Source organism: Homo sapiens, chromosome 4, assembly GCF_000001405.40.
Source record: "Homo sapiens chromosome 4, GRCh38.p14 Primary Assembly".
NCBI classification, from domain to species: Eukaryota; Metazoa; Chordata; class Mammalia; order Primates; family Hominidae; genus Homo; species Homo sapiens.
In genome coordinates, this window is record NC_000004.12 from 106,457,297 (window position 1) to 106,473,981 (window position 16,685).

Below are 16,685 nucleotides of genomic sequence, written 5' to 3' on the forward strand. Positions count from 1 at the left end.
TATTGGATTATTTAAAATAAAATTTACCAAAATCGATGTAAGAAAAAAATAGTGAATCTGAATAGATCAATAACTATTAAAACATTTAATTGGTAATTACAATTCTCACCCACTTACCTTCTCTCTACAAATACTCCAAGCCCAAAGAGTTCTACCAGGAAGTTTTGCAAGCCCCTTTAACTTACAGATAATTCTGACTTTATGCTATGTTCCCAGATGATAAAAGAAGTAAAGCTACTTAATCCATTTTTTTTTGAAGGTAGTGTAACTTTATAACCTTGATATCCAAACTTATAAGGAAAGCATAGTAAGAAAACAAAGGCTAATTTCATTTATAAATGCAGGTGCAAAATTAAAATACTCAATCTCTTTCTCTGGGTCAGTCTTGCTAGAGAATTTTAGGCAAATTGAATTCACCAGCAACGTTACCAAATGGTGTTTATTTTTGTATAGATCAATTGTTCCACAATAGAAAATATATTTAAGTATTAATCACATTAATAGACAAATGATGATAAAAATAATCGTCTCTATTATTGCAAGAAAAAGTCATCTTGATTAATGCAATGATATTCACTGTCCTTTTATGATAAAAACAATTAACAAACTATTAGTGAACTAGAAATGAAAAGAAATATGATCTGTCTTCCTCAAAATCAGTGTCGTCACTGATACTATTCATGTTGTGTTGGTGGTTTTAATAATTATAATAAGAGAAGGAAAGGACATAAGAAATGTATAGATTAAACAGAAAAAGACAAAATTGTAATTTTCACATGATATGATTTTCCGTGAAAAATGTACAAACGAATCTCCAGACAAATTATTCAAAATAATAAGAAAGTCTAGTGGTTCAGTCAAGATACAATTTATATATAAACTCCATAATATTTCTATGTGAAAGTAATAAATACTTGAAAAATGTTATAGAAATTTTGAAAAAAGCATTTGCAATATAACAAAACATATAAGACACCTAGAAATAAATCGAAAACAGGTATTCAAGTTCTACATGGTTAAATGTATAAGATAGTTTTGAAGCATATGAAAGGAGACTTGATTAAATGGAGATGTGCGCTAGGTCAGATGTGGGAAGATTCAACATCATGAGGATTTCAACTCACCCAAATGTTTCTATAAATTTAATGTGATTCCAATAAAAATGTCATGTTTTTCATGGAATTTGAGAAAATGACTTAGAAATTCGGAGAAATTAAGTCCAAAAAGATCTGGGTTAATTTTGAAGAGGAAGAAGAAGGAGGAAGAAGGCACACTTGCCATACCAGTTACTAAGTCTTATTAATATACTTATACAATGTAAACTACTATGGTATTAGCTCAGGAAAGGGCAAGTACATGAGAAGGATGAATGAGAAAGCAAAAACTAACAAACAGGCAAAACCTCAAAGCCAAAAACCAGAAAACACAGAGACTTTAACTATATGGGATTTCAATTTATGAGAGAAGTGTCACTACAACATGCTGAAGAATAATAAATGGTGTTGAAATAACTGCAGATCCAAATGTGAAAATAATAGATACATGCATCTAGTTCTATTTGATTAAAGACCTTATGACTTTTTGAAGAATATGAAGAATATTCTCATTACATTGGAGTAGAGATGATATCTTACACAAGTAACATAAAAACAGAATATAACATAAAGTAAATTGATACACAGCTGTAAGTAATACTTATATATACAACAAAAGATACAATAAACAAGAATGAGAAATGATGTTTATCACATAGAGAACAATGGATTAATGTCTAGAATAGCTATATAGAAATCCTACAAGTCAATAAAGAAAAGATAATGTAATTAAAAATGGGTATTGTGTATGGGTACTTGCTTACTTTGTTGGATTAAATGTAAATGATCAAGCTCACATATTACACTAAACAAATAAGTGGTTTATCTTGCTTTAAGAATATGGGTACAGAAACTATTATTATGAAAAAGACAGGCTGGATGTGGTGGCTCACGCCTGTAATCCCAGCACTTTGGGAGGCCGAGGCAGGTGGATCACCTGAGGTTGGGAGTTCAAGACCAGCCTGACTAACATGATGAAACCCCATCTCTACTAAAAAAAACTACAAAAAATTAGCCCGGAGTGGTGGCAGGTGACTGTAATCCCAGCTACTCAGGAGGCTGAGGCAGGAGAATCGCTTGAACCCGAGAGGCAGAGGTTGCAGTGAGCCGAGATCACACCACTGCCCTCCAGCCTGGGCAACAAGAGTGAAACTCTATCTCAAAAAAAAAGAAAAAAAAAAGATAACGACAGTACATATCTCATGTAGCCTTTTTCAACACCAACTCAGGAGCTCACAGATATTTTTTTTCTGGAAGAGTCAGAAAAGTCAACTGTTGACCTTGAAGGAAAAACGAGAATTGGAGTACCATTTTTGGGGACAGAACAACAATCTTTATATCTCCTCTGGGAGTGTTGAGCACAGGTAATACAAACAAACAATAAACAGAGTTACAAGAGGCATTTGATTACATTCAGTCTAAGAATATGCATATTAAAATTTAACAGAAACATCTGAGCATATTTAAATTATAGCAATTTATTGCTGCCATTTTGGTTTATAGTCTCAGCCTGTTTGTCACATAAACTTCTCGGCCCCATAACAATTGGCAAAAGATATAAAGATGCAGTTCAGAAAAAAGGGAAGTCAAATAGCTAGTCAATTTTGGAAAGTTTAGTAATGAATAAAATGCATGTTAAAATAATAATGAAATACAATTTTATACCCAATGATTAGCAACAATTTTAAAATCTGAAAATTTTAAATGTTTAAAATCAAAAATTATAAAGTGAATACTTCAAAATACAGGAACTCTCATCCAGTGCTGAGATGACTGTAAATTTTGGAAAGCAATTTGACAACAATATTATTAAAAATGTACTCATCTGATAATTTAGCAATTACTTTTCTTAATATATATTCCAGAGAAACTGTTGGCACATGTATACAAGAGGACATTTTAAGGAACATTGATTTTAACAGTGAAGACTGGAAACAATCTAAATACATATCAACAGAAGAATGGTCAAATAAATTATGGCATATTTTATAATGAAATAGATGATTATAATTAAAATAAAGGAGCTATAGCTATATGTAGTGACGTTGATAGATAAAAAGTCTAATGAGTAAAAAGTAAGAAGCACCTATACACTATGATGAAATATCCCTATATATTGGACCTGGTTATCTCTATCTCTATGGAGAGAAGGAATACAAATATGTATAGGAAGGATTTATACCAGAAATAAGACAGATTTTCTGTGGATATGAAAGTAGTGAAATGTGACAAAGTAAGGATACTATCTTAGTCCATTTCTGCTGCTATAACAGAATACCACAAACTGGGTAATTTATAAAGAAAAGAGATCTATTTGGCTCATGGTTCTGGGAGCTGGGATGTCTAAGAGCATAGTACCAGTATCTGGTGAGGGTCATCCCATGGCGAAAGGGTGGAAAGACAAAGCCAGCTTTGACAGAGAGAGTAAATTGGGCCAAACTCTTAAACTTTATCACTAATGTGTTGTTTTCCAATAAGAAACAAACAATAAACAAAAAGACCTACATCAAAAGAGCTGAAGTAAACATATTCAACTGTTAATATTTGTTAATTGTATATGTTGGGTATATGGGTATTTATTATGTTATTCTCTGTAATTTTCCATGTTCAGAACCACCAATGAAGATATATATATACAGAACAAGCCGTCAGCCTATATCTGTAAGTGAATGAACTGTAGAGTGAGTGCTCTACTAGATAGGCCTGCCAACTATAAGCACAATTTTACACTATATTCTAGGCAGCCAATGTGTCTTCTTCCCCTGATATACTTTTAAGGAAGAAAATTACATAAAGTGGCCAGTCCAACACAAAGAATGAGAAGTGCTGGTCCCAGGGTAGTTCTTTACTTAGCATATCATCACCATATAATTTTTCATATTTAAGTGTTAAACAAAAAGACCATTTTGTATCAGGGTTAATCTGTGATGATAATTATATGACCTCATTATAATAAGTAAAATTGTTTTCTAATAAAGCTATAAAGAATGAAAATGTGGACCAAAATTAATTTAATATTCATAGATATCAAATCCTTACAGATTGTGAATAAATTTTGGGGTCAAGTACTATTCTTGAGCACTTACAGTATAATTTAGGATGTTCAATTTTTTATGCTATGATATTCTCTCAATATTGTACATAGATTTCTATATTTGATAGGTTGATATCAATAAGCATTAAAATGAAATGTCCAAATCTAATAAATTACTACAGAATTTTCCCATCTTTCATGCTCTATTTAGTTTTTCAGGTCAAAGTAAAATCGAGAATAGAATATTCAAACCACATGGTGTCTTACAGTGAGTTGTGACAGTGGGACAATAGTTTATTTTAACATAAATCAAAAGGAACTGAAACAAAATCAATTTGCAATGCATTAATGGTCTTATTATTGAATTGTTCCATGTTTCACAAAAAACATTTGATGTACTGAGCAATCCGTTGTGTAATAGAAAGTGTTTTCCAAATATCACAGTGTTTTAATTAAGACTTTTTGTGTCTTTTCCTCTAAGTACATTAAAAGGAACTTTATGTACCCTCATTCTCTTTTGGATAGGGCTCTGTTATGTCGTGAATATGATTATTTTCAGCAGAACTAAGAGTAACATGCTTTGATGAGCGTAAATCTCAAAAGTTGAGTTCTTGAGAATTGTCTTCATAATGAAGATTTTGTCTACTTGAATCATGGCCAACAATCTCAACTTTGGAGAGCTGCTTATGGGATTTACCTAACACTTGTTGCTGTGTCATTAACAAGGCATCAACCCCTCTTAGGACAGCTCACGGGTGTCTTCTGTGCTGATGTGACATTTTATATGAGCAGATTTAGGGGGTGATAGAAGGGCACTTGCAACTTTAATTTTCCAGCCTTAAAGGACAACCTCATGATATCAGAGGCTAACTTATAGCCCAGAAGGTGATGACCTTCCTCTGTTAAAAGTTTAATGTGTCTCCTGCTACTTCTTAATTGTTCAGCTTTTATCTTATTTCAGTGATCATTCTTGGGGCTCGGATTTTCATGGAGTTAGTGATTTACTAGTCTCTGAGGTACTCAGTCCAAACTCCATGCCAAAAGCACTCAGAGGTGAAGAGAGGTGAAGGATAAGGATGACTGCCAGGAGAATAAAATTTGGTTGTCAATAAACAGGGAAACCTCCAAGTTGTTATTCTAAAGATTTAGATGGTGTTAAGGGCCACATGGAGCCCTGTCCTGTGTTAGTAATATAATGGGACCTGCTGTATTCTCTGAGATGTTTCTTTCATCTCAACTCCTTCAGCCAATATCAAATTCTTTCTTCTTATGAAATAGGAACTCATTCACTGACTCATCTAAACCCTCAAGGAAACAAGTATAACGATTTCATTTTAGTCTTTCTTAGATTATGATCTTGGGTGAAATGAGAAAGAAGCACTGTTGGTAAAAATTTATACCTCACTACTATGAATATTTGCTAACTCTAAGAGGGAGCCAGAAACAAGGAGGGAGGTAAATACCCAAAGAAAAAAACAAGAGTGAGGTAGAGAAACATGGAGGAGAGAGTGAATGGGAGAGAGAGAGTGAGAGAAGGAGTGGAGGAGTGGGGGTGAGAGAGAGAGAGAGAGAGAAGAAATAGATGAGGGAAGACAAAAAGAAAGAGAGAAAGAGAGATGAGAGAGAGGAGAAGAGAAAATGAGAACCTGAAAGACAGTTTGTGTTTGATCACACATGTGGACACATCTAAAAGATTCCATAACTTTGTTTGTTTTTCAGTTAAATTGGATGTTTTCATCTTCATTATGGTTTAAGTCAGGCATTTTAAGTCTAAGTAGTCAGACCACTTCAGTTGTTTTAACACCCCACACTAAATGACTGAACAGCTAAAACTGCCCAATTGGGTCAACCATTTAGCAATCCCAGGGACTGAACAAGTGATTGATGTGGTATATGAGGCAGGCTCAAACTGTAATTTGTTACTTCAGAGAAAGAAAGCTAACAAATTCTTTTGGGAAACCCAAGAGGGATTGGATAAACTTGTGTTAAGTGATAGGACAATAATATTACATTACTGGATGGTTAGTCCTAAAGACAATCTTCCACATGTGAAAGGAAAAATAGGCTCCAAAAGTTGGTCTGCCTAAATATATTGCCAACTCTGTCTTTCCAAAAGAGACAAGCAGCCTCCATGTGTTGGGCTTGAGGAAATTAATCCCATCCTCTGCTCCTCAGAATGGAAGCTGATTGAGAACTAGGCACAGGAGTCAGAAAATTGAAATGTCAACGTTATTGAAAGGAAACCTAGCTTGACAAATGTAGCTTGAATGTGGTCTCTTTGGACTTCCTAACCTTTTTTTCTATAGTTATATCTGAATTCACTTGAGGAGCAAGGCCTCCAAAGCAGTCCCTTATCAACCAGCAATGCCTCACCATGTCGAAACTGAAAGCCCAAGATTAAAGGTGCATAAGGGAAGAGGCCACCTGTGTGCAGTGACTTACTGTGGTAACCCTGACCACTGCAGAAATATGGATCAATGAATATCAGACTCTTCAACATGTCAAACAGACAAATCATTGCTCTTCCTGTGGAGAGGAACAAATGAGATCTTAAAGGAAACAGATGCTTTTAACCAACACTTCTGAGACAGCAGAAGCTCTATTTTATAGACCAGTAGGAAAAGAAACAGAGAGGTGGCTTCTCCCAAACTACATACTGAAAGCACCCTTATTTTACTTACAATGTTGGTAAAAGAACCCACCTGAATATGGGAAATTGTAGCTAGTCTTGTGGGGTGCTAAGAGGTTCCAAGTTTATTACAGAGAAGGATGTGAGACAATGGAGTGTGGGCAATGTAATGGGAATTCACATTTGTGGAGCACCAACTGTGTCAAATACCATGTTAGACTCTTACTATCAGCAATTGTGAGGTTATTCTCTAAGGGTAGGCAGCTCAGAAAAGAGAAGTAAGGCACAAGTCTAAGTCATTTGAGAGTCAAATAGGAATATTCTTCCATTATACTTCACTGTTACTCTAAATACTACTGCTACCTTTGGACTTATGGACAAAGCCTTCTAAAGAATAGCATCTTACTACCATTGCAAAGATGAGTAGTCCTGCAAAAAATGATTCATACTTGCAAAGTACTGGAAACAGTCCAAATGCTCATCAATGGACACATGAATAAAAAAGTGGTAGTTTCATAGAATAGAATACTATTCAACAACCAAAAGGAAGGAACTACTGATAAATACAACAACATGGGAAAAACTCTAAAAAATTATGCTAAGTGAAAGAAGACAGTCACAAAAGCTCACATTTTATCTTATGTTTACATTAACATAAAAAATTCAAAAAGACAAATCTACGGAGGCAAAAAGTTTGCCTGGGGCTGATTGTAGGGAGATAGAAATTGACTGCAAATGGGCATGAAGAAACTTTAGAAGCATGGAAAAGCTTCTAAAATTGGATATGGTGGTGGTTGTAAAATTCTATAATTTTAAAAATAATTGAATTGTACACTTAAAATGGATAAATTTTATGGTGTATACGATTAACTTTCTTCCAATCAAAAAGGCAGAAGTCACTCTGAATTGGACAGTAGACAAAGGAATTGTGGGTGTGGTTTCCCTTTCCCTTGTTCATTCCTAAATTAGTAGCAACCACTTGGCTCCAGCAGGCCTTGCAGTACAATGCTTGACAAATGGTACCTTGGCGAATATATCCAATAGTCCTCTGATGAAGACTGATAGTGGCAAAGACTAATCAGCTGCTTACCAAACTCATCTCCTCTTTTCTCAGGCACAGAGAGAGACATAGTGTCCCAATCTCTCTTGCAGTTGGGGTGACCGTGAGACAGAGTACTGAGTTCACTGGTCAGAGAAATGGAGTCAGAAATGATTGTGCTGCTTCCATGCACAGTCCATTAAAAGCTTTTCACACACGAGCCTCCTATTTATTGTTCCAGTCTGCAAGTTGGAAATCCATGCCCAGGGAGACCTCAGAACTAAGTGTTGAAAAATGGCAGAACCATAAGTTGAAGGAGCTTGGATTTCTGGGTCACTTCTTACGGGAGAGGCCCCAGTTATCAGAAATACCTTCAACAGACTTCACATGAATTAGAAATGAATTTCTCTCATGTTGGAGTCATTTTGAAGCATGACTTTAACTAACATATTCTTTATCTCCTTTTTTAAAAAAACATTCTTCTTTTATTATACTTTAAGTTCTGGCTAGATGTGCAGAACGTGCAGTTTTGTTACATAGATATACACGTGCCATGGTGGTTTGCTGCACCCATCAACCTGTCACCTATATTAGATATTTCTCCTAATGCTATCCCTCCCTTAGCCCCCCACCCCCTGACAGGCCCCAGTGTGTGATGTTCCCCTCCCTATGTCCATGTGTCCTCATTGTTCAACTCCCACTTATGAGTGAGATCATGCAGTGTTTGGTTTTCTGTTCTTGCGATAGTTTGCTGAGAATCATGGTTTCCAGCTTCATCCATGTCCCTGCAGAGGACATGAACTCATCTTTTTATGGCTGCATAGTATCCCATGATGTATATGTGCCACATTGACTTCATCCAGTCTATTATTAATGGGCATTTGGGTTGGTTCCAAGTCTTTGCTATTGTGAACAGTGCTGCAATAAACATATGTGTGCATGTGTCTTTATAGTAGAATGATTTATAATCCTTTGGGTATATACCCAGTAATGGGATTGCTGGGTCAAATGGTATTTCTAGTTCTAGATCCTTGAGGAATTGCCACACTGTCTTCCACAATGGTTGAACTAATTTACACTCCCACCAACGTTGTATAAGTGTCACTATTTCTCCACATCCTCTCCAGCATCTGTTGTTTCCTTTTTAAAGATCACCATTCTAACTAGCATGAGGTGGTATCTCATTATGGTTTTAATTTGCATTTCTCTAATGACTAGTGATGATGAGCATTTCTACATATGTCTGTTAGCTGCATAAATATCTTCTTTTGAGACGTGTCTGTTGATATCCTTCGCCCACTTTTTGATGGGGTTTTTTTTTTCTTGTAAATTTGTTTAAGTTCTTTGTAGATTCTGGATATTAGCCCTTTGTCAGATGGATAGATTGCAAAAATTTTCTCCCATTCTGTAGGTTGCCTGTTCACTCTGATGATAGTTTCTTTTGCTGTGCAGAAGCTCTTTAGTTTAGTTAGATCCCATTTGTCAATTTTGGGTTTTGTTGCCATTGCTTTTGGTGTTTTAGACATGAAGTCTTTGCCCATGCCTATGTCGTGAATGGTATTGCCCAGGTTTTCTTCTAGGATTTTTAAGGTCCTAGGTCTTACATTTAAGTCTTTGTTCCATCTTGAGTTGATTTTTGTGTAAGGTGTAAGGAAGGGGTCCAGTTTCAGTTTTCTGTGTATGGCTAGCCAGTTATCCCAATACCATTTATTAAATAGGGAATCTTTTCCCCATTGCTTGTGCATGTCAGATTTGTCAAAGATCAAATGGTTGTAGGTGTGTGGTGTTATTTCTGAGGCCTCTGTTCTGTTCCATTGGTCTATATATCTGTTTTGGTACCAGTACCATGCTGTTTTGGTTACTGTAGACTTTCCATATAGTTTGAAGTCAGGTAGTGTGATGCCTCCAGCTTTGTTCTTCTTGACCAGAATTTTCTTGGCTATGCAGGCTCTTTTTTGGTTCCATAAGAAATTTAAAGTAGTTTTTTCCAATTCTGTGAAGAAAGTCATTGGTAGCTTGATGGGGATAGCATTGAATCTATAAATTACTTTGGGCAGTATGGCCATTTTCATGATATGGATTCTTCCTATCCATGAGCATGGAATGTTTTTCCATTTGTTTGTGTCCTCTCTTATTTCCTTGAGCAGTGGTTTATAGTTCTCCTTGAAGAGGTCCTTCATATCCCTTGTAAGTTGGATTCATAGGTATTTTATTCTTTGTAGCAATTGTGAATGGGAGTTCACTCATGATTTGGCTCTCTGTTTGTCTGTTGTTGGTGTATAGGAATGCTTGTATTTTTGCACATTGATTTTGTATCCTGAGACTTTGCTGAAGTTGCTTATAAGCTTAAGGAGATTTTAGGCTGAGGCGAAGGGGCTTTCTAAATATATAATAATGTCATCTGCAAACAGAGACAATTTGACTTCCTCTTTTCCTAATTGAATATCCTTTATTTCTTTCTCTTGCCTGATTGCCCTGGCCAGAAATTCCAATACGATGTTGAATAGGAGTGGTGAGAGAGGGCATCCTTTTCTTGTGCAGGTTTTCAAAGGGAATGCTTCCAGTTTTTGCCCATTCAATGTGATATTGGCTGTGAGTTTGTTATAAATAGCTCTTATGTTGAGACACATTCCGTCGATACCTAGTTTATGGAGAATTTTTAGCATGAATGGGTGTTGAATTTTGTTGAAGGCCTTTTCTGCATCTATTAAGATAATCATGTGGTTTTTGTCATTGGTTTTGTTTATGTGATTGATCACGCTTATTGATTTGCATATGTTGAACCAACCTTGTATCCCAGGGATGAAGCTGACTTGATTGTGGTGGATAAGCTTTTTGATGTGCTGTTGGATTCAGTTTGCCAGTATTTTATTGAGGATATTCTCATCAATATTCATCAGGGATATTGGCCTGAAATTTTTTGTTGTTGTTGTGTCTCTGCCAGGTTTTGGAATCAGGATGATGCTGGCCTCATAAAATGAATTAGGGAGGATTCCCTTTTTTTCTATTGTTTGGAATAATTTCAGAAGGAATGATACCAGCTCCTCTTTGTACCTCTGGTAGGATTTGGCTGTGAATCCATCTGGTCCTGGACTTTTTTTTGGTTGGTAGGCTATTAATTACTGCCTCAATATCAGAACTTATTATTGGTTTATTCAGGGATTAGACTTCTTCCTGGTTTAGAATTGGTAGGGTGTATGTGTCCAGGAATTTATCCATTTCGTCTAGATTTTCTACTTTATTTGCATAGAGGTGTTTATAGTATTCTCTGATGGTAGTTTGTATTTCTGTGGGATCGGTGGTGATATCCCCTATATCATCTTTATTACAACTATTCGATTCTTCTCTCTTTCCTTCTTTATTTGTCTGTCTAGTGGTCTATTTTGTTGATCTTTTCAAAAAACCAACTCCTGGATTCATTAAATTTTGAAGGGTTCTTGTGTCTCCATTTCCTTCAGTTCTGCTCTGATCTTAGTTATTTCTTGTCTTCTGCTAGATTTTGAATTTGTTTGCTGTTACTTCTCTATTTTTCTTTAATTTTAATATTAGGATGTCAATTTTAGATCTTTCCTGCTTTCTCTTGTGGGCATTTAGTGCTATAAATTTCCCTCTACACACTGCTTTAAATGTGTCCCAGAGATTCTGGTACTTTGTGTCTTCGTTCTCATTGGTTTCAAAGAATATCTTTATTTCTGTCTTTATTTCGTTATTTACCCAGTAGTCATTCAGGAGTAGGTTGTTCAGTTTCCATGTAGTTGTGCAGTTTTGAGTGAGTTCCTTAATCCTGAGATCTAATTTGATTGCACTGTGGTCTGAGAGACTGTTATGATTTCTGTTCTTTTGCACTTGCTGAGGAGTGTTTTACTTCCAATTATATGGTCAATTTTAGAATAAGTGCAATGAGGTGCTAAGAAGAATGTATATTCTGTTCATTTGGGGTGGAGACTTCTGTAGATGTCTATTAGTTCCTCTTGGTCCAGAGCTGAGTTCAAGTCCTGAATATTTTTGTTAATTTTCTGTCTCGTTGATCTGTCTAATATTGACAGTGATGTGTTGAAGTCTCCCACTATTATTGTGTGGGCATCTAAGTTTCTTTGTAGGTCTCTAAGGACTTGCTTTATGAATCTGGGTGCTCCTGTATTGGGTGCATATATATTTGATATAGTTAGCTCTTTTTGCTGCATTGATCCCTTTACTATTATGTAATGCCCTTCTTTGTCTTTTCTGATCTTTGTTGGTTTAAAGTCTGTTTTAGCAGAGATTAGGATTGCAACTCCTGCTTTTATTTTTTTATGTTATTTTATTTTATTTTTTTGCTTTCCATTTGCCTGGTAAATATTCCTCCATCCCTTTATTTTGAGCCTATATGTGTCTTTCCACGTGAGATGGGTCTCCTGAATACAGCACACCGATGGGTCTTAACTCTTCGTCCAATTTGCCAGTCTGTGTCTTTCAACTGGGGCATTTAGCCCATTTACATTTAAGGTTAATATTGTTATGTGTGAATTTGATTCTGTCATTATGATGCTAGCTGGTTGTTTTGCCCATTAGTTGATTCAGTTTCTTCATAGTGTCAATATTCTTTACAATTTTGTATGTTTTTGTAGTGGCAGGTACCAGTTCCTATCCATGTTTAGTGCTTCCTTCAGGAACTCTTGTAAGGCAGGCCTGGTGCTGACAAAATCTCTCAGTATTTGCTTGTCTGTAAAGGATTTTATTTCTCCTTCACTTATGAAGCTTAGTGTGGCTGGATATGAGATTCTGGGTTGAAAATTCTTTCCTTTAAGAACGTTGAATACTGTCCCCCAGTCTCTTCTGGCTTGTAGGGTTTCTGCTGATAGATCTGCTGTTAGTCTGATGGGCTTCCCTTTGTGGGTAAACCGACCTTTCTCTCTGGCTGCCCTTAACATTTTTTCCTTCATTTTAACCTTGGTGAATCTGACGATTATGTGTGTTGGGGTTGCTCTTCTCGAGGGGTATCTTTGTGGTATTCTCTGTATTTCCTGAATTTGAATGTTGGCCTGTCTTGCTGGGTTGGGGAAGTTCTCCTGGATAATATCCTGAAAAGTGTTTTCCAAATTGGTTTCATTCTCCTCATCGCTTTCAGGTACACCAATCAAATGTAGATTTGGTCTTTTCACATGGTCCCATATTTCTGGGGGCTTTGTTCATTCCTTTTTATTCTTGTTTCTCTAATCTTGTCTTCTCTCTTTATTTCATTAAGTTGATCTTCAATCACTGATATCCTTTCTTCTGCTTGATCGATTCAGCTATTGAAACTTGTGTATACTTCACGAAGTTCTCGTGCTGTGTTTTTCAGCTCCATCAGGTCACTTTTGTTCTTCTCTACACTGGTTATTCTAGTTAGCAATTCGTCTGTAACCTTTTTTCAAGGTTCTTAGCTTCCTTGCACTGGGTTAGAACATGCTCCTTTAGCTCGGAGAAGTTTGTTATTACCTACCTTCTGAAGCCTACTCCTGTCAATTTGTCAAACTCATTCTCCATCTAGTTTTGTTCCCTTGCTAGCAAGGAGTTGTGATTTTTTTGGAGGAGAAGAGACATTCTGGGTTTTGGAATTTTCAGCCTTTTTGTGCTGGTTTCTCCCCACCTTTGTGGATTTATCTACCTTTGGTCTTTGATGTTGGTGACCTTCAGATGGGGTCTTTGAGTGGATATGGTATTCCTTTCTGTTTGTTAGTTTTCCTTCTGACAGTCAGGCCCCTGTGCTGCCAGTCTGTTGGAGTTTGCTGGAGGTCCACTCCCGATCCTGTTTGCCTGGTTATCACCAGCAGAGGCTGCAGAACAGCAAAGATGGTTGCCTGATCTTTCCTTTGGAAGCTTCATCCCAGAGGGGCATCTGCCAGATGCCAGCCAGAGCTCTCTTGTATGAGGTGTCTGTTGGCCGCTACGGGGAGGTGTCTCCCAGTCAGGATACACGGGGGTCAGGGACCCACTTGAGGAGGCAGTCTGACCCTTAGCAGAGCTCAAACGCTGTGCTGGGAGGTCCACTGCTCTCTTCAGAGGTGTCAGGCAGGAACGTTTCAGTCTGCTAAAGCTTCATCCACAGTCGCCCCTTCCCCCAGGTGCTCTGTCCCAGGGAGATGGGGGTTTGTGTATAAGTCCCTGACTGGGGCTGCTGCCTTTTTTCTCCAGAGATGCCCTGACCAGAGAGGAGGAATCTAGAGAGGCAGTCTGGCCGCAGTGGCCTTGCTGAGCTGCAGTGGGCTCTGCCTAGTTTGAACTGCCCAGTGGCTTTGTTTACACTGTTAGTGTAAAACTGCCTACTCAAGCCTCAGTAATGGCGGATGTCCCTCCCCGCACCAAGCTGGAACATCTCGGTGGATCTCAGACTGCTGCTGTGCTGGCAGCAAGAATTTCAAGTCAGTGGGTCTTAGTTTGCTGGGCTCCGTGGGAGTGGGACCCACTGAGCCAGACCACGTGGCTCCCTAGCTTCAGCACCCCTTTCCAGAGGACTGAACAGTTCTGTCTTGCTGGCATTCCAGGCGCTACTGGGGTAGGGAAAAAAAAAACCGAACTCCTGCAGCTAGTTCGGTGTCTGCCCAAATGGCTGCCCAGTTTTGTGCTTGAAACCCAGGGCCCTGGTGGGGTTGGCACCAGAGGTAATCTCCTGGTTTGCAGGTTGTGAAGACGATGGGACAAGCACAATATTTGTGCCGGAGTTCCTCAGGCTCAGACCCTCATGGCTTCCTTTGGGTAGGGGGGTAAATTCCCCGACCCTTTGCGCTTCATGGGTGAGGCAATGCCCCAGGTGAGGTGATGCCCCACCCTGTTTCTGCTCGCCCTCCATGGGCTGCACCCACTATCCAACCAGTCCCAATGAGATGAACCAGGTACCTCAGTTGGAAATGCAGAAATCACCCGCCTTCTCTGTCGATCTCACTGGGAGCTGCAGACCGGAGCTGTTCCTATTCGGCCATCTTGCCAGCAATCCTCCCACTTAACATTTTTTTTTTTATCTCCTTTATAACAGAAGCATATGTTGAGATATAGGGAAGACCAATAAATTATATAAATTCAAGCATCAAGGAGGTGTCAAAGTCAAGACTTGTACCCCAAACCATCTAATGTTAGAGGTTGTGCTCTTATGCACTGTAATATATTGTTTCTCCTTTTAATTAGAATTGAGTGGTGTGTGAACAAACATCAATTATCCTGAATCCAAACATTTTCTGCCACTGTATGTTACCGTTCTTGTCCAAAGTCCCTCAACTGTTTCCTGCATTACTGCACTAACCTCTGGGCTTCTCTGCCTCCTGCTGTTGTTTTCCTGTAATCTATTACTAATCAGCAGCCAGTATGATCCCATTAAAATGCAAAGTTGATCAAGTCCTTCCTTTGCTTAAAACCTTCTGAAGGGTTCCAAAGTCCCTCAGAGTAAGAACTATAGTCTTTACAACTATGGTCCATACAGTCCTTTGATCTGGTCTCCTCTCATCTCTCTCATTATCTCTCCTATCTCCACCTCTCTGCCCTCTGTATTGTTGCTCACTTTACGCCAACCATGTTGGCCTTTCAGCTATTTCTTTACATTCATCTTTGCTTCTGTCTAGAAATTTTCCTCCAGATAGTCACATGACTTGCTCCCTCATCTTTTTTAAGGATTTACTTAAATTTCCCCTTCTCTGCCAGGGCTTCTGTAATCATCCTATTAAAATCGTAACCCCTTCCCTGATGCATTTCCAATTCCTATATCCTATTACATTTTTCTCAGTATCAGTTATATTGGACATATTATATAATTCACTCCAAATTATGTTGCTTATTTTTCGATTACTTCTACTAGAATGGGAGTTACATGAGAGCAGACTTTTTTTTTAAACCCTTTAGACATTTTTGGACTCTTACCCCAGTATACAGAAAGGTGTTCAAAGCATAGTATCTTCTGCTCCATAAGTACAAATGGAATGGATGAATGAATGAATGAATGAATGAGCATCCTCCAAACTATAAGTAGAGGATTGAGTGGCCAGGCACAGTGGCTCATGCCTGTAATCCCAGCACTTTTGGAGGCCGAGGCGGGCGGATCATGAGGTCAGGAAATCGAGACCATCCTGGCTAACACTATGAAACCCCGTCTCTACTAAAAATACAAAAAAAATTAGCCAGGCATGGTGGCGGGGGCCTGTAGTCCCAGCTACTCGGGAGGCTGAGGCAGGAGAATGGCATGAACCCAGGAGGTGGAGCTTGCAGTGGGCGGAGATCGCGCCACTGCGCTGTAGCCTGGGTAACAGAGCAAGGCTCCGTCTCAAAAAAAAAAAAAAAAAAAAGTAGAGGATTGAGTTACTGAGTCATTGTGTACTATATTAAAGGTCTTCTATACCAGGGGGAAATTCAGTCATCAGGACAGAGGACAGTCTCTATGAGCTGCTAAAACATTAATGGAAGTATATTAGTGTGCAGAATTTTGCATGTCAGTTCCTTTAGGGATAGTACTATAAATGATTAGGAATAAAAAAAAAATTAAGAAACCATTTAGGTAGTGAAGGGAAGTGAAAACCTTCCATGACTCACTTAGCACCAAACCATCTTGCAAGGTGTAGGGGCTTGTGGGGAGGGCAGGTTAACCATAGAGCTGAGGTTTGCTGAGTAGGGTATTACTTACTTAGAACAGCAGGGTGGAGGCTGCACCTACAGTCAATTGCCTTCTTTCTTTCATCTTACCACAGGCAGTGCTCAGTCTCTCTTGAAAATAAATATGTATTTATTGACTCATCGCATATATTTCTTTAGCACCTATCTTTGGGAGGCACTTCTCTGAGTGCTGGGAATACAGTTGCAGATGAGAAAAGGCCTTTTTTTGTGGAGCCTACATTCTGGTGGAGGGAGGGAGATAATAAATAAAACAAAAGAAATAAATAATAAATAAGA

The 16,685-nt window shown here is 38.0% G+C and overlaps 1 annotated feature.

Annotated features, from left to right (window-relative positions):
* Positions 13,740-14,241: an enhancer, noted in NCBI's record as "H3K27ac hESC enhancer chr4:107392193-107392694 (GRCh37/hg19 assembly coordinates)". NCBI's record gives its function as "activates a minimal SCP1, AML or CMV promoter by ChIP-STARR-seq in naive H9 embryonic stem cells {active_cell/tissue: H9 hESC(naive)}" and the evidence as "EXISTENCE:reporter gene assay evidence [ECO:0000049][PMID:30033119]".